Consider the following 18,549-nt stretch of genomic DNA (forward strand, 5'->3'; position numbering starts at 1 on the left):
CCCCATCTTTGTGGTTTTATCTACCTTTGGTCTTTGATGATGGTGATGTACAGATGGGGTTTTGGTGTGGATGTCCTTTGTGTTTGTTGTTTTTCCTTCTAACAGGCAGGACCCTCAGCTGCAAGTCTGCTGGAGTTTGCTGGAGGTCCACTCCAGACCCTGTTTGCCTGGGTATCAGCAGCAGAGGCTGCAGAACAGCGAATATTGCTGAACAGGCAATGTTGCTGTCTGATTGTTCCTCTGGAGGTTTCCTCTCAGAGGGGTACCCGGCCATGTGAGGGGTCAGTCTGCCCCTACTGGGGGGTGCCTCCCGGTTAGGCTATTCAGGGGTCAGGGACCCACTTGAGGAGGCAGTCTGTCTGTTCTCAGATCTCAAACTCCATGCTGGGAGAAACACTACTCTCTTCAAAGCTGTCAGATAGGGACATTTAAGCCTGCAGAGGTTTCTGCTGCCTTTTGTTCAGCTATGCCCTGCCCCCAGAGGTGGAGTCTACAGAGGCAGGCAGGCCTCCTTGAGCTGCAGTGGGCTCCACCCAGTTCGAGCTTCCTGGTGGCTTTGTTTACTTACTCAAGCCTCAGCAATGGTAGGCGCCCCTCCCCAGCCTCACTGCCACCTTGCAGTTTGATCTCAGACTGCTATGCTAGCAATGAGCTAGCTCCGTGGGTGTGGGACCCTCCGAGCCAGGTGCGGGATATAATCTCCTGGTGTGCTGTTTGCTAAGACCATTGGAAAAGCACAGTATTAGGGTGGGAGTGACCCAATTTTCGAGGTGCCATCTGTCACAGCTTTGCTTGGCTACGAAACGGAATTCCCTGACCCCTTGCGCTTCCTGCGTGAGGCGATGCCTCGCCCTGGTTCAACTCACACTGGGTGCACTGCACCCACTGTCCTGCATCCACTGTCTGACAAGCCCCAGTGAGATGAACCTGGTACCTCAGTTGGAAATGCAGAAATCACCCGTCTTCTGCATCACTCATGCTGGGAGCTGTACACTGGAGCTGTTCCTATTTGGCCATCTTGGAACCATGCCCCCAAAACATATATTTTAAACATATATATTCAAAGGGGTTATGACTTCTACTTTGCCCCACAGTGATCATGAAGTTCCTTAACACTCCCCCTTACTACTTTGTTAAATAGAGTTATTAACATGACTTCTCTATCAATTACAAATATTAAAACTTGTGAATTAATATTTATGATCTGATTTATACTTCAGTATAATCAAATCTGCATTAAAGCAATAAAAAAGATATTACTTGCTTACCATGTATGGGTTTTCAAGTGTAATTGCTTTCTCAATCATGTTCCAATCAGCATTAGCAAGATCTTTGTCAAATTTAAGGGCAGAGGCTGCAGACTTGGTTAGCTCTTGAAAGTGTTGAAATGTGCAACAAACCGATTTATATTTTGTTGATGTGGCATCACGAAGACCTTTGATACAAACACACATTTGATAAATAGTAGAAACACCACAATTTTGATATGGGTTAGAAAGCTTACTTTTGTTTTTAACTTATTGTCACTAATCTTTAAATAAAATTTCAACATAAACTGTTTAATAATGGGAATACTAAAGAGTTAAACATTTTCTGCTTTCATATTTCTTCTCACAAAAGGTGAGGCATGTAATAGTAATAGCTAATGTTTATTGAGTGCTTACTATATTCTGCAAAAGTGCATTTCAGCACTTTTCATGCATTAAGTTTTTGGTTATTTGGCCACCTTTTGAGGTGAGTCCTTTTTCCCAGTTTGATATATGAGGAAACAAAGAAACAGAGGTATAATGGTTAGTTTCATTTGTCAACTTAACTGGGCCACAGGGTGCCCATATATTCAGTTAAACATTCTGGGTGTGTCTGTGAGTGTTTTTGGATGAGGGTGACATTTAAATTGGTAGACTGAGTAAAGTACATTGTCTTTCCCAATGTGGGTGGGCCTCATCCAATCTGTTGGAGGCCTCAATAAAACAAAAGTCTGAACAAGAGAGAATTTGTTGTCTCTGCCTTATGGTCTTTGAGCAGGGACTTCAGTCTTCTCCTACCTTCAGACTTTAGCTGGAACTTGTACCATTGGCTCTTGGTTCTCAGGCCTTTGGAATGCATACTTTGGGACTTAGCTTCCATAACCTCATGAGCCAGTTAAGCACATATGATAAATTATCTGCATTATCTTTTAAGATTCCAATCTCTTGAGCTATCTTTTTGTTCTAGAATACATCCAGTTTCTAGCTTCCTAAGAAATTTAGCACCTGTTGTGTTTTCTGAAGATCATTACGTTAAGTGAAATAAGCCACACACAGAAAGACAAACATCACATATTCTCACTTATTTGTGGGATCTAAAAATAAAAACAATTTAACTCATGGACATAGAGGGTAGAATGATGGTTAACAGAGACTGAGAAAGGTGGTGGGGGGATGGGGGCAGGTGGGGATGGTTAACAGGCACAAAAATATAGAAAGAATAAATAAGACTTACTATTTGACAACACAATAAGGTGACTATAGTCAATAATACCTTTACATTTTAAGAATAATTTAAAGAGTCATATTTTAAATTTTAAACATTTTTAAAGTTTTACATTTTAAGAATAATTTAAAGAGCAATTGAATTATTTGTAATTCAAAGGGTAAATGCCTGAAGGGATGGATATCCTATTCCCTATGATGTGCTTATTTCACTTTGCATGCCTGTACCAAAACATCTCGGGTACCCCACAAACATATACACCTACTATGTACCAACAAACATTTTAAAAATAAAAAAGAAGAAAATAGCCACAAAAAAAGAGAAATATCTAGGAATAGAGCTAACGAAGGAGGTGAAAGATCTCTACAAGGCGAACTATAAAACACTGTGAAAGTAATCAGAGATGACACAAATAAATGGAAAAACATTCCATGCTCATGGATTGAAAGAATCAATATCATTAAAATGGCCACATTATCCAAAGCAATATGCAGATTCAACACAATTTCTATTGAACTACTAATGTCATTTTTCACAGGATTAGAGAAAAACAGTTCTAAAATTTACATAGAACCAAAAGAGAGCCCAAATAGCCAATGCAATCCTAAGCAAACAGAACGAAGCCAGAAGCATCACACTACTTGACTTCAAACTATACTACTAGTCTACAGTAACCAAAATAACATGGTATTGGTACAAAAACAGATACATAGCTCAATGGGACAGAATAGAGAACCCAGAAGAAAAGCTGCATGCTTACAGTCATCTGATGTTTGACAAAGCTGACAAAAACAGACAATGGGGGATGGATTCCCTATTCAGTAAATGGTGCTGCGATAACTGGCTAGCTGTATGCAGAACAATGAAACTGGACCTCTACCTTTCACTATATACAAAAATTTACTCAAGATGGATTAAATATTTAAATGTAAGACCTCAATTATAAAAGTCCTAGAAGAAAACCCAGGAAATAAATGTTTCCACACCAGCCTTGAGAAATAATTTTTGGCTAAGTCCCCAAAAAAATTGTAACAAAACAAAAATTGACAAGCAACACCTAATTAAACTAGAGAGTTTCTGCAAAGCAAAAGAAACTATTAATAGAGTAAACAGACAACCTATAAAATGGGAGAATAGATTAGCAAACTATACATCTAACAAAGGTCTTATATCCAGAATCTACAAGGAACTTAAAGCAACAGGCAAAAAACAATCCCATTTAAAAATTGGCAAAGGTTAAGTGTCCATCAACAGATGAATGGATAAAGAAAATATACATATACACAATGGCATACCATTAAGCTATTAAAAAGAATGAGATCCTGTCATTTGCAACAGCATGGATGGAACTGGAGGTCATGTTAAGTGAAATAAGCCAGGCACAGAAAGAAAAACTTTGCATGTTCTCACTTATTTGTGGGAGCTAAAAATTAAAACAATTAAACTTATGGAGATAGAGAGTAGAATGATGATTAACCAGAGCCTGTGAAGAGTAGTGGGGAGGTAAGGGGAAATTTGGGTGGTTAATGCATTCAAAAAATAGAAAGAATGAAAAAGATCTGGCATTTGATAGCACGATAGGGTGACTATAGTCAAGAATAATTAATTGTGCATTTAAAAATAACTAAAAGAGCACAATTGGATTGTTTGTAACACAAAGGATAAACACCTGAGGTGATGGATACTCCATTTACCCTAATTGATTATTACACATTCTATACCCGTATCAAAATATCTCATGCACCCCATAAATATATACAACTACTATGTATCCACAAAAATTAAAACGAAAAAAAAGTCTTAATGGGCAAAGAACATGAACAGACACTTCTCAAAAGAAGGCATACAAGTGGCCAACAAACACATGAAAAAATGCTCATCATCACTAATCATAAAAGAAATGCAAATCAAAATCACAATGAGATACCATCTCACACCAGTTAGAATGGTTATTATTAAAAAGTCAAAAAATAACAGATGCTGGCAAGGCTGTGGGGAAAAGGGAACACATATACTGTTGGTGAGAAAGGAGAATGTAAATTAGTTCAGCCACTGTGGAAAGCAGTTTGGAGATTTCTCAAATAACTATAAACAGAACTACCATTCAAGCTAGCCACCCCAAGATAGCCAAAGGAAAATATATCATTCTACAAAAAAGATACATTCACTTGTATGTTCATCACAGCATTATTCACAATAGCAAAGAGATGGAATCAACCTAAGTGTCCATCAATGGTGGAATGGATAAAGAAAATGTGGTACAGATACACCATTGAATACTATGCAGCCATAAAAAAGAACAAGATTATGCCCTTTGCCGCAACATGGATAAAGCCAGAGACCACTATCCTAAGTGAATTAATGCAGGAGCAGAAAATCCAATATCTTTTGTGGGAACTAAACATTGAGTACACATGAACATAGAGATGGGAATAGTGGATACCAGGGAGTACTAGAGTGGGGAAAGAGAAATGGGATGTGAGTTGAAAAGCTACCTTTTGGGTACTGTGGTCACTACCTTGGTGATGAGATCTGTACCTCAAACCTCAGCATCACACAATATACCCATGTAACCAACCTGCACATGTCAAATAAAATTTGAAAAAAATTAGGCACCACTGACTTGTATTTATATAATTTATATGGATTCTTTTTTTTTTTTTTTGAGACAGGGTCTTGCTCTCTTGCCCAGGGTGGAGTGCAGTGGTGTGATCTTGCCTCACTGCAGCATCAGCCTCCTGGGTTCCAGCGATCCTCCCCAATCAGCCTTCCAAATAGCTAGGACAACAGGTGTGCACTGCCACGCCTGGCTAATTTTTAAACTTTTTGTAGAGACGGGGGTCTCACTATGTTGCCTAGGCTGTATATGGATTCTTTCTTTATTATTAGCACTTCTTTACCATACTTAGAATGTTTTTCTCTCCACAGGAATAGTAACTGTTAGGGCTTACCTAGTATAGTAACTGCCACTGGCAAAATAAATCTATTGACAACAAGGGTTATTAGGCATACTAACACTCCATGAAATAATATCTAGAATTGAAAAAAATACAAAGTAAGTATTCATGACAATTTCATATAATATAGCCTATATTTACCAATATAAATTAAGCTATTTTCCAATATAAATTAAGCTAGGTTGTACTGTGTTAATAGATGCTCATGGCAGGGGAGGAATTAATCTAAGATGAAAGCACTCTGGGTATTCTCTATCTTCCTGCATGTAATTCATCCATGTTTTGTTACCAAACCGAAATTAGGACACAAGTTTTGACAAGTAAATCAATACTTATACAGACATTGGGAAGGAATATTTATCTTTGAATTCCACTGTTGCACTTCCTGGTAGCTGAGAATACACTTATACTTTATCAATCCTTATCCACTATACAAACCTGGCTGTGCATGGCCACACCGTTCTCTATTCAACATTACCAGCATATCTGCATCAAACAATTCTCCTCACCTGGGAAAGGAGAACAACTCAAGGCCCTTGATATGTTTTCTCCACCTCACACTTTGCCTCACTGGTACCCTTTCATTGTCAGGAAGAAGGAGTAATAAATGTCTTTGGTGCCACTTGATATCTTTATCTACTTGTATCTCAAGTCAGTCTTGATAGACAAATGAACTAACACTTTTCAATCTGAGGCTACACATTTTTGGGGATTTATGGAATTCCAACTTCCAGAATTTATGTTTCACCCTAGCTAGTCTTCTGTTCTGTATCCACAGATGGAATTAGGGATAGAGCATGAAACCACACTAGAGGCTCCCAAAGTTGCACATTAGAATCATAAGGGAAACTTTAAGATATTGGTACTCAGGAGGTCCCCACTGAATATTCTGATCTAATTCGTCAAGGGTGCAGCCCAAGCATTGGTAATAAGGAAATCTGAGGTATAATGTACATACATTGAAATGTACTCAAGTACCATTTTGTCAGTTTTGACAGTGTATATCTACTCATATAACTCTCAATCCTATCAAGATGCAAAATATCTCACATCCCCAAAATTTCTCTAATGCTCCTTCCTAATAAGTCATTCACCAATGAGAGGCAGCTAGTATTTTGATTTCTACTTCTGTAGATAAGAATTGCCAATTCTAAAATCTTCGTATAAATTAAATAGCATATGACATGTCTCACTGTGATTTTAATTTGCATTTCCTTAGAGTAGTAATGTTGAATACTTCTAACATGCATATTAGTACACATCTTTCTTTTTGAAGAAGTGTCTGTTCAAATATGTTGTACGTTTTTAAAAAAATTGGGTTACCATTGTATTTTCTTCAAAAAATTTTACAGTTTTTGATTTTATATTTAAGTCTATGGTCCATCTCAAATCAGTTTTAGGTATGGTGTGAGGTAAAAATAGAGTTTTTCTTTTTTTTTTTCTAAGTGAATCCAGTAGTTCAGCACCATTTATTGAAAAAAATATTTTTTCTCTCATTGAACTGTTTCAGAATCTGTGTCAAAAACCAATTCACCATATATGTGAGTCTTTTTTGAATTCCTTATTATACTCCATCTTTTTTTATTCTTATGCCAGCATGCTACTGAATTACTGTATTTTTATAATAAGTCCTGATATCAGATAGTATAAGTCCTTAAATTTCGTTCTTCCTTTTCAAAATTATTAGGGCTATCCTCAGTTTTCTGTATTTCTATATGGAGTTTAGATTTTGGGTATCTATTTCTAAAATCTTCTGGGATTGGAATTGCAATGAGTATAGTGACATCCTAATAATTCCAAGTCTTCAAATCCATATTGGAATATATATTTTACATAGGTTTTTAAAAATGTGTCTCAACAATGCCATGTTGTTTTCAGTGCACGAGTCTTGCATATTTTGGAAAGAAGCCTCTAACTTGGCTCTCAGAGGTATCCATCTCTTGATACTTAGTCATCTTTTTTTTTTGTAAGTCAGGTGTTCATTTATTAAATACAAGTTTTGAACTAACTCTGCCAGGCAAGTTTGACAAGAAGCAACCTTCCTGAAATGTTTCAAAATACGGTCATGTTGATTATATTTTATTTCAAGCAACCTTTTTGTTCTTCATTTTCTGTTTCTGGGTTTATTTCCTGGTGAGCAGTTAGAGCATGTGCATTATTTCCTCACATGACATCAAGAGTGCAGCATCAGCCTCTGGCTTGTAAAGGCACCCAGTAGGCTTATGTTCTGTACAATCGCTGCTTAGCAACCAGCATCAAGTAAAGTAATTAAGCTTTTGTAGAGTGTGGTACCAAATAGCAACTGGCACCTTCACCTGCACCATTAAAAAACCTTTAAAGTTTCCTTCAGTTTTGAGATATCCATTAAAAACTATATTAAAAAAACAAAACCCAGACTTCTTGATAAAATGTACTTAAACGATTTTCCAAGTTTAGTATTAGCCTCTTGGTAAGTTATGAGCAATACCAGAGCTGAGTAAGAGTCGTCATTTTCCTATCATACTCCAGCAAAGCCAATAAATAAAACTAGGTATGTTAGAAAGTCTGCCCTACTAGATTTAGAGCTGCTTCTAAGTTCCAGACAAAACACCTTTTTAAGCTTCCAAGTGTATATGCACACAGTGTTGTACCAAGATGATAACTTTTTAAAATCTAATTTTTTAGATGTCCTTAAATTACTTCACAGAAAGAAAAAAGGCACAGAGGACACTTGGTTTCCTCACCAGTGGTGGCCTTAAGCTACACACTTGCCTGTGCTAAGAGTTTAAAGATATTCAGCAGCATTAATGGTGCCATAGCCCTTCATAGAAAGTTTCAGGAAAAGAGCTTAAAAAGCAGAAGAAAAGCTTGCCAAAAAGGCTTACAATCTGAAGGTTAAATGCAGAAGAATACAGACAGAGACTAGAGGCAGCACCAAGGTTGTTAACCAGGAAGCTGCTGAGAATAGCTGCTTTCTGAGGTTTCTTCCCCATTTTCCTCCAGTTTTCTCCTGAAAACTCTGGTCTTTTCCCCTCTTGTTTTTAAAATGAAAACATCCTGTTAGATTGGGTTTGGAGGATAAATGCAAATAGGCAGAAGCTTATTTTATACAGAGTTCATTCTCAGAGAGGAAAAGGAGAATAATAAATATTGAATGAAGCTAATTTTAGAAAATAAGCAAATCCTGTCAACGCATGCTTTAGAGGCCCAGGGAGCACACTGAATGAATCTTACATTCTGGCATTTGCAAAAGTGTCCTCAACTTCCTTTTTCATTTATAAGCACAGCAATAGGCAACATCTATTTTATATCTAGGGTGGAAAGCCCTCTTAGATTTGAGGCTTTCCAGCTGATACCATCAAAAAAACATCAAGGACTGCTTATAGCAATTTGTGTTGAAATATAAAACTATTTTATTTGATCTTTCAACCATAGTTAATAACGTGCTCCAAATGAAGCAGTGACACCCATTTCTCAATCTTATCATTTTTCTTGTCACTTATGACATCTCTGGGCTTAGAAAGATGGTGATATAAAGACAACCCATAGGGGAGTGTCCCTACTCAGCATATTAAGCTGCACAATTGAGTAGTGAGCTCAAGCTCAACTTATGAAAGTGGCGTCCATCCACCTACTAACTACACCAGGCTAAGTGGATATTTAAAATGTCTTGTGGACAAGGTTGTGCTCAAATTCCTACTTTGTTAATTGAATGCCTAACTCTGTGATAGAAGCAGCTCTTAGAAGTCAGGTCACAAGCCCAAATATTAACCATATACATTTTATAATATCAGAACTTTGTCAAGAATGAGTATGTTAGCAAACATGGCCACATACTGCATACATCTCACTCTGGAAGAGAAAATGTAAAGTGGTACTCAGTTTACTCTTGAGTGTGTGTGTGTGTGTGTGTGTGTGTGTATCTCACACGCTGAAATATACTGTTGATATTACTTAGTCATCTTAAATATGGACTAGACGTATTGACTCACTTCTAATAAATAGAATATGAAGAAGTAATGGGAAGTGACTTTCAAAATTAGGTTATAAAAAGACCGTGGCTTCCGTCTTGAGGGTTTGCTCTCTCTAGCTCTCTTGCTTATTCATTCTGAGAGAAGCCAGCTACCATATTGCAAGCTGACCTATGGAGAGGTCCAAATGACAAAGAGGCTTCTGGCCAAGAGTCAACAAGAAACTAAAGCCCTTAGTTCACTGCCTTCAAACAACTGAATCTTGTCAACAAAACCACACAATCAGCTTAGAAGCAGATTCTCTAGCCCCAGTTGAGCCTTTTGATGGCTGCACTCCCAATTTATGCTTAAATGCAAGTTTATGAGAGAAACAATCAGAGGCACTCAGTTAATTTATACTCATATTCTTGACTCACAGAAACTGAGATAATAAATGTTTCTTGTTTCAAGCCACTGAATTTTGGGACAATTTTTTTACATAGCCATAGATAATGATAACTGATACATATGTATTTCATTATTTTTGTTACTATGACATGTTTTTGATGCCATTATTATGTTCTTTATTTCATTTTTCTGTTAGTTGCTAGTATATAAAAATATAATTTAGTTTTGTATACTGAACATGAATTTCATGATTTCGCTAAATTCACTTATTAGTTCTACTGGTTATTTAGTATCTACCAGTTTGTGTGCCTTTTTTCTCCCTATTGCCTGAGGTAGGACATTGAGCATAATGTTCCACAAAAATGAAGAAAGCAGATATATTTGCCCTTATTTGAAACTTAAGGGAAAGTATTCAGTATTCAACCATTAAGTGTCACTTATCATTAAGCTTTTAAGTTTTTCTTTTTAAATAAATCCCCTCTATCCGATTAAAGTAGTTTTCTTCAAACTCTATTTCACAAAAAGTTTTCTATGTATAAAATCATATCTTCTGCACACAAAGATAGTTTTACTTAATCTCTTCTTATTTAGGTGCCTTTTATTTCTTTCTCTTGCCTGATTGCTCTGGCTAGGACTCTCAGAACTGTGTTGAACAGGAATGGTGAAAATGGGCATCCTTGTTTTGTTCCAGCTCTCAAGGGGAATGCTTCCAGCTTTTGCTGATTCTGTATGATGTTGGTTGTGGGCTTGTCATAGAGGGCTCTTCTTATTTTGAGGTATCTTCCTTCAATGTCTAGATTTTTAAGGGTTTTGAACATGAAGTAATGTTGGATTTTATCAAAAGCCTTTTCTGCATCTATTGAAGTAATCACATGATTCCAGTTTTTAGTTCTGTTTATGTGATGAATCACATTTACTTATTTGTATGTATTGAATCTACCTGGCATCCAAAGGATAAAGCCTACTAGATCATGGGTAGATTAGCTTTTTGATTTGTTGCTGGATTGGGTATGTCAGTATTTTGTTGAGGATTTTTGCATCTATATTCTTCAAGGATATTGGCCCGAAGTTTTATTTTTCTGTTGTGTCTCTGCTAGCTCTGCCAGGTTTTGCTATTAGGATGATGCTGGCCTCATAGTGTAAGTTAGAGAGGAGTCTATTCTAAATTTTTTGGAATAGTTTTAGTAGAAGTGGTACCAGCTCTTTAAAGTACAATTCATCTATGAATTTGTTTGGGCTTTTTCTAGTTGGTAGGTTATTAGATGCAGAATCAATTTTGGAACTCGTTATTGGTCTGTTCAGGGTTTCAATTTATTCCTGGTTTAATCTTGGGAGTTTGTTGTTTCCAATAATTTATCTATTTCTTGTAGGTTTTCTAGTTTGTGTGCAGAGGTGTTCACAGCATTTTCTGAGGGATTCTTGTATTTCTGTGGGGTTGGTGGTAATGTCCTCTAAGTCATTTCTGATTGTGTTTATTTGGATAATCTCTTTTATTCTTTATTAGTCTAGCTAGCAACCTATCAATCTTATTTATTGTTTCAGATAACCAACTTCTGGTTTCATCGATGTTTTCTATGTTTTTTTTTAAATTATACTTTAAGTTTTAGGGTACATGTGCACAACGTGCAGGTTAGTTACATATGTATACATGTGACATGTTGGTGTGCTGCACCCATTAACTCGTCATTTAGCATTAGGTATATCTCCTAATGCTATCCCTCCCCCTCCCCCCACCCCACAACAGTCCCCAGTGTGTGATGTTCCCCTTCCTGTGTCCATGTGTTCTCATTGTTCAATTCCCACCTATGAGTGAGAACATGCGGTGTTTGGTTTTTTGTCCTTGCGACAGTTTGCTGAGAATGATGGTTTCCAGCTTCATCCATGTCCCTACAAAGGACGTGAACTCATCATTTTTTATGGCTGCATAGTATTCCATGGTGTATATGTGCCACATTTTCTTAATCCAGTCTATCATTGTTGGACATTTGGGTTGGTTCCAAGTCTTTGCTATTGTGAATAGTGCCACAATAAACATACCTGTGCATGTGTCTTTATAGCAGCATGTTTTATAATCCTTTGGGTATATACCTAGTAATGGGATGGCTGGGTCAAATGGTATTTCTAGTTCTAGGTCCCTGAGGAATCACCACACTGACTTCCACAATGGTTGAACTAGTTTACAGTCCCACCAACAGTGTAAAAGTGTTCCTATTTCTCCACATCCTCTCCAGCACCTGTTGTGTCTATGGTTTTTCACAACTCAAAAAAGAATGTAGACATATAGATGGCCAACACACACGTGAAACATGTGAAAATCGCTATCACCAGAGAAGTGCAAATCAAAACCACAATGAGATGCCACCTCACACCACTCAGACTGGTTATTACTAAAAAGTCAAGAAATAACCGGTGCTGGCAAGTTTGCAGAGAAAAAGGGACAGTTATATACTGCTGGTGGGAATGTAAATTAAGGCAGCCACAGTGGAAAGCAGTTTGGTGACTTCTCAAAGAACTTGGAACTACCATTCGACCCAGCAATCCCATTATTGGGTATTTATCTAAGAGAATATAAATTGTTCTACCATAAAGACATATGCATGTGTATGTTCATCACAGCACTATTCACAAGAGTAAATACATGAAATCAAGCAAAATGCCCATCAATTGTAGACTGGATAAAGAAAATGTGGTACAGATACACCATGGAATACTATGCAGTCATAAAAAGAACAAGATTGGGAAACTGACCAAGATGGCTGGCTAGAAGCAGCTAGTATGCACCTCTATCATGGAGAGAAATAGAAGGGGTGAGTAAATACAGTGTTTTCAGCTGAAACATCCAGGTACACACACTGGGATTCATAAAGCAAAAAACTTGACCCACAGAGAACAAGGAAAATCAAGGCAGGATGACCACCCACCTAGGAGTGACACAGAGTCAGGGGAGCCTCCCCTACACAGGGAAGTGGTGTGTGAGTGACTGATTCCGGGCACCCATTCTTCTCCCATGGATCTTTGCAACCCTCAGGTCAGGAAATCCCCTCATGAACCGACTCCATCAAGGCCTTCAGTCTAACATGGAGTCTTAGCAGAGCAGCCATCCAAGCACACGTGGAGCCCTAGGTGCTTCAGATACTTGGGGTTCCCAGCAAAAGTGGCTGCAACTTCAGCAAAGTCAGAGATTAGACTCCTGAACGTACTCTAGGAAAGGAGGTGATCCAGGAGGCCTGAGTAGCAATGGTCTACAGGCATCACTCCCATGGCATCTCCTGGGATAAGACCCACTGCTTGAAACTTCAGTCATCCACCAGTAGCAGCATTACACCTCCCTGAGACCAAGCTCTGAGAGGGAGGTGCAAGCCACCATCTTTGCTGTTTCATAGCCTTAGCCATTGTTGCCTTTAGTGCAGCTGCCCTGTGGAAGAGTAGCCAGCTTGCTTTTTTACACAGGTCCATGATCCTGCTTCTCCTCTCTGGGCAGGTGAGTGAATGAGTGATTCTGGGTATCCATGCTTCTCCCATGGATCTTTGCAACTCTTGGGTCAGCCCCCTGAATCATCTCCTTTCCTAGAGGTATGGACAGGGATCTAACCCCCAACCTTGCTCAAATTGCTGCCACTTTTGCTGGGAAGCCCAGGTATCTAAATTGCCCAGGGCTCCATATGAGTGGCTGCTCTGCTAATATTCCATGTAGCTCTGCATGTCAGACTGTAGACTGGGCTCTCCAGTCACCCTAGCCAGTGTTTTCTGGGTTGCAGTGGTTCCCAGCCTCCCTGGGATGGAGGTCCCTGTGGGAGGGATGGGCCACCATCTTTGCTGTTACACAGCCTTAGCCATTGTTGCCTTTGAGCTCTAGGGATTCTGAGGTGACTAGGGACTGGAAAAGTCCCCCAGAACAGTGCAGCTGCTCTATGGATAAACAGCCAGACTGCATTTTCACATGGGTCCGAGGTCCTAGTTCTCTTCCCCAGGCAGAATTTCCTGACCACAGTCTATGACCACCCCCACCAGTGTTTTCTGGTCAGCAGCAGTTTCCAACCTCCCTGGGATGGGGCTACCAGAGGGAGAGGTAGGCCACCATCTTTGCTGTTTCTCAACTTAAGCATGGTGGCCTTTAGGCTTTGGAGAGTGTGAAGCAACTGGAGGTTTAAGCAGACCCCCAGAACAGCACAATTGCTCTATGAAAAAGCAGACAGAATGCCTTTTTATGCAGGTTCCTGATTTTGATCCTTCTCACTGGGTGGGATATCCTGATTGGGGTCTCCAGCCACCCCTGCTGGTGTTTTCTGGTCAGCAGCAATTTCAGAACTCTCTGGGACAGAGCTCTCAGAAGGTGGAGTAGACTGCCATCTTTGCTGTTTAGTAGCCTTAGCCATTGTTGCCTTCAGGCTTTAGAGAGTCAAGGTGACCAGGGACTGGAGTGAACTGCCAGCAAAGCACTGCTGCCCTTGGGAAAATAGGTCAGACTGCTTTTTTAAGTGGGTCCATGATCCCATTCCTCCACAGTAGGCGAGATCTACCAAGTGGAGACTCCAGCCACCTCCTGCTGGTGTGTTCAGGCTGGCAAAATGTCTGTACCTCCCTGGGTTGGAGTTCCCAAAGGGAGGGGGAGGAGCAGGCCACCATTTTTCTGTTTCACAGCCATCACTAATGATACCTTCAGGTCCTGGAAAATCTGAGGAGACTAGGGACTGGTGATGACTGCCAGCATACCACAGCATCCTTACGAAAAAGTAACCAGACTGTTATGTGGGCCCTTAAACCTATGTCTCCTCACTAAGCTTGGGCCCACAGCACAGATCCCGCATTCTGGACAATTGCACTGAATGATTACTCACCTGCATCTCTCTGGGGTAGAACCCCCAGCAGACAGGCAAAAGACCTTCATCCACAACCACTGCTAAGGTCATTTCCACTGTTGCCGCCAAGTTGGGGAAGGCAACAGTGAGATCACACAAGAGCTGTGGTAGGCAGCCTTGGAGTGCCAATTTGTGATCTACAGCCAGCACTCAAGTAGGAAAGGAGCCCACATGTTCAGGGCATTGACAGAGAGCATGGCTGCAACTGTAAGGAAATGTAGGGGAGCCATGTGACCAAGCAAGAGCCCACCAACTGACCACAATACCTAACCACCACCTACTGGTTCACACCCCAAAGTTTCAACACCAAAAATACCTCCTCACTAACATATCTGCCCTGTGAAACCAAAGACAAGAAGTCATTTGCAAATAAAGACTCTGCAGAAAGCCTTGGCCCAATGAAAACATTCAGAAAAGAAGTCTACTGACTGCACACAATCTGCACCACAGCTAAAGGGACACCCAAACACAGAGATGAGAAAGAACCAATGCAAGAACTCTGTCAACTCAAATGGCCAGAGTGTCTTATATCCTCCAAATGACCACACTAGTTCTCCGACATGGGTTCTTAACCAGGGTGAGTTGGCTGAGACAACAGAAATAGAATTCAGAATGTGGATAGTAATGAATATCATCAAGATTCAGAAGAATGGCAAAACCAATCCGAGGAAGCTAAGAATCACAATAAAATGATACACAGATCTGATCTGAGAGAGCTGAAAAGCACACTACAAAAATTCCACAAGGTTATTGCCAGTATTAACAGCAGAATAAACCAAGATGAGGAAAGAATCTTGGAACTTGAAGGCTTGATCCATGAAATAAGACAGTCAGATAAAAATGAAAAAAGAATGAAAAAGTTTAAACAAAACTTCTGAAAAATATGGGATTATGTAAAGGGGTAAAACTACAAATTATTGGCATCCCTGCAAGGAATGAGGAGAAAGCAAACAACTTAAAACACATATTTCAGAAAATTGTTCATGAAACTTCTCCAAACTTGCTAGAGAGGCCAACAGTCAAATTCAGGAAATACAGAGAACCCTTGCAAGATTCTATACAAGAAGATCATCCCCAAGACACACAATCATCAGATTTTACAATGTCAAAATGAAGAAAAGAAAATTAAAGGCAGCTAGAGAGAAAGGGCAGGTCGCCTACAAAAGGAACCCCATCAGGCTAACAGTGGATCTCTCAGTAGAAATCCTACAAGCCAGAAGTGACTGGGGGCTTATATTCAACATTCTTAGACAAAAAATCGTCAACCAATAATTTCATATCCAGCCAAACTAAGCTTCCTAAGTGAACATGAAATAAATTTTTTTTATTTCAGATAAGCAAATACTGAAGGAGTTGGTTACCAACAGACTTGCCTTGCAAGAGATCTGGAAAAAAGCACTAAATATAGAAAGGAAAGATCACTGACAGCCAACACAAAAACACACATAAATACATAGACTAGTGACACAATAAAGCAACTATACAAACAAACTGACATAATAACCAGCTAACAACACAATGGCAAGATCAAATCCACACATATCAATAATAACCTTGACTATAAATGGGTTAAATGCCCCATTTAAAAGACAGAGAGCAGCAAGCTGGATAAAGAACCAAGAGCCAATGGTGTGCTGTCTTCGAGAGACCCCTTTCATCTGCAGTGACACTCATAGGCTCAAAATAAAATATTTTCCAAGCAAATGGAAAACAAAAAAAAAGCAGGAGTTAAACAATCCTATTTGCAGACAAAACAGACTTAAAACAACAAAGTTTTTAAAAACACAAAGAAGGGCATTACACAATGGTAAAGGGTTCAATTCAATAAGAAGACCTAACTATACTAAATATTAATGCACCTAACAGAGGAGCACTGAGATTCATAAACCAAGTTCTTAGAGACCTACAAAGAGACTTATACTCCCACACAAGAATAGTGGGAGACTTTCACACTCCACGGACAGTAGCAAACGTATCATTAAGGCAGAAAATGAACAAAGATATTCAGGATCTGAACTCAGCATTGGACCAAATGGACCTTATGGACCTCTATAGAATTCTCCATCAAAAAACAACAGAATATACATTCTTCTCATCACCACATGGCAAAAAGTCTAAAATCAACCACACAATCAAACGTAAAACAATCCTCAGCAAATGCAATAGAAAAAAATCATACTGAACACACTCTAAGATCACAGCACAATAAAAACAGAAATTAAGGCTAAAAAACTACTCAAAACCATCCAATTACATGGAAATTAAACAACCTGCTTCTTAATGAGTTTTGGGTAAATAATAAAATAAAGGCAGAAATCAAGAAGTTCTTCAAAACTAATATGAACAAAAAGACAACATACCAGAATTTCTGGGACACAGCTAAGGCAATGTCAAGAGAGAAATTTATATCATGAAACGCCCAAATCAAAAAGAAAGATCTCAAGTTAACAACCTAAAATCACAACTAAAAGAACTAGAGAAGCAAGAGCAAACCAGTCCCAAAGCTAACAGAAGATAAGAAATAACCAAAATCAGAGCTGAACCGAGGAGATCAAAACACACACAAAAAATCATTCAAAAGATCAATGGATGCGGTGGTTCTTTTTATTTATGAAAAAATTAATAAGACAGATAAGCTTCTAGCTAGACTAATAAAGAAGAGAACATTCAAATAAGCCCAATTAAAAATGACAAAGTGTATGCTACCACTGACCCCACAAAAATACAAATAACCATCAGAGACTACTATGAACACCCCTATGCACACAAACTAGAAAACCTAGAAGAGATGGATAAGTTCCTAGACACATACATCTTTCCAAGCCTCAACCAGGAAGAAAGTGTTTCCCTGAACAGGCCAGTAGTGAGTTCCCAAATTGAATCAGTAACAAATAGACCAACCAAAAAAAGCCATGGACCAGACAAATTTGCAGGCTAATTCTACCAGATACACAAAGAAGAGTTGGTACCATTTCTACTTAAACTATTCCAAAAAATGGAGAAGGAAAAACTCCTCCCCAAATCATTCTATGAGGCTAGCATCATCCTAATATCAAAACCTGGCAGAGAAACAACAAAAAAGAAAACTTAAGGCCAATATGCTTGATGAACATTGATGCAAAAATCCTCAACAAAATACTAGTAAACCAAAATCCAGCAGCACATGGAAAAGCTAAGCCACCACAATCAAGTAGGCTTGATTGGGATGCAAGGTTGGTTCAATATATGCAAATAAATAAATGTTATTGATCAGAACAGAAGTTAAGACAAACTATATGATGATCTCCATAGATGCAGAAAAGACTGATAAAATTCAACATCTCTTCCTGTTAAAAACTCTCAATCTACTAGGTATCGAAGGACCATACCTCAAAATAATAAGAGCCCTTTATGACAAACCCACAGCCAATATCATACTGAGTAGGCAAAGGCTAGATGCATTCTTCTTGAATACTGGCACAAGACAAGGATGCCCTCTCTCACCAGTCCTACTCATTATAGTACCGGAAGTCCTGGCCAGGTCAATCAGGCAAGAGAAAGAAATAAAGTGCATCCAAATAGGAAAAGAAGTCAAATTATCCTTATTTGCAGATGACATGATTCTGTATCTAGAAAACCCCATAGTTGGCCCAAATCTCCATCAACTGGTAAACAGCTTCAGCAAAATTTCAGGATACAAAATCATCATACAAAATTCATCAGCATTCTTATGCACCACCACCAACCAAGCCAAGAGCCAAATCAAGAATTCAATCCCATTCATAATTGCCCAAATAATACCTAAGAATATAGCTAACCAGTGGGGTAAAAAATCTCTACAATGAGAATTACAAAATTCTGCCCAATGAAATCAGAGATGACACAAATGAATGGAAAATAATCCATGTTCATGGATAGGAAGAATCAATATCATTAAAATGGACA

At 38.8% G+C, this 18,549-nt stretch overlaps 1 protein-coding gene and 1 pseudogene across 14 annotated transcripts in view, besides 1 other annotated feature; both read right to left on the bottom strand.

Annotated features, from left to right (window-relative positions):
* Positions 1 to 18,549, bottom strand: part of SLC9C1 (solute carrier family 9 member C1) — a 153,319-nt gene that overhangs the window by 97,674 nt on the left and 37,096 nt on the right. For 12 of the 14 annotated variants that reach the window (XM_011512718.2, NM_001320531.2, XM_017006247.2 and 9 more), the window contains 2 exons: positions 5,424 to 5,505; positions 1,269 to 1,435 (listed from right to left, as the gene is read on the bottom strand). In XM_011512718.2, coding sequence (XP_011511020.1) covers positions 1,269 to 1,435; positions 5,424 to 5,505 — 249 coding nt within the window. The remainder of the gene's footprint in view (positions 1 to 1,268; positions 1,436 to 5,423; positions 5,506 to 18,549) is intronic. The other 2 variants (NR_135297.2, XM_011512725.2) reach the window with 1 other exon arrangement.
* LOC100532749 (ubiquitination factor E4A (UFD2 homolog, yeast) pseudogene) lies at positions 7,394 to 9,373 on the bottom strand (annotated as a pseudogene).
* Positions 9,648 to 9,737: a silencer, noted in NCBI's record as "silent region_14603". NCBI's record gives its function as "represses an Ori minimal core promoter by ATAC-STARR-seq in GM12878 lymphoblastoid cells {active_cell/tissue: GM12878}" and the evidence as "EXISTENCE:reporter gene assay evidence [ECO:0000049][PMID:35858748]".

The sequence above is a fragment of the Homo sapiens genome, chromosome 3 (genome assembly GCF_000001405.40).
Source record: "Homo sapiens chromosome 3, GRCh38.p14 Primary Assembly".
NCBI classification, from domain to species: domain Eukaryota; kingdom Metazoa; phylum Chordata; class Mammalia; order Primates; family Hominidae; genus Homo; species Homo sapiens.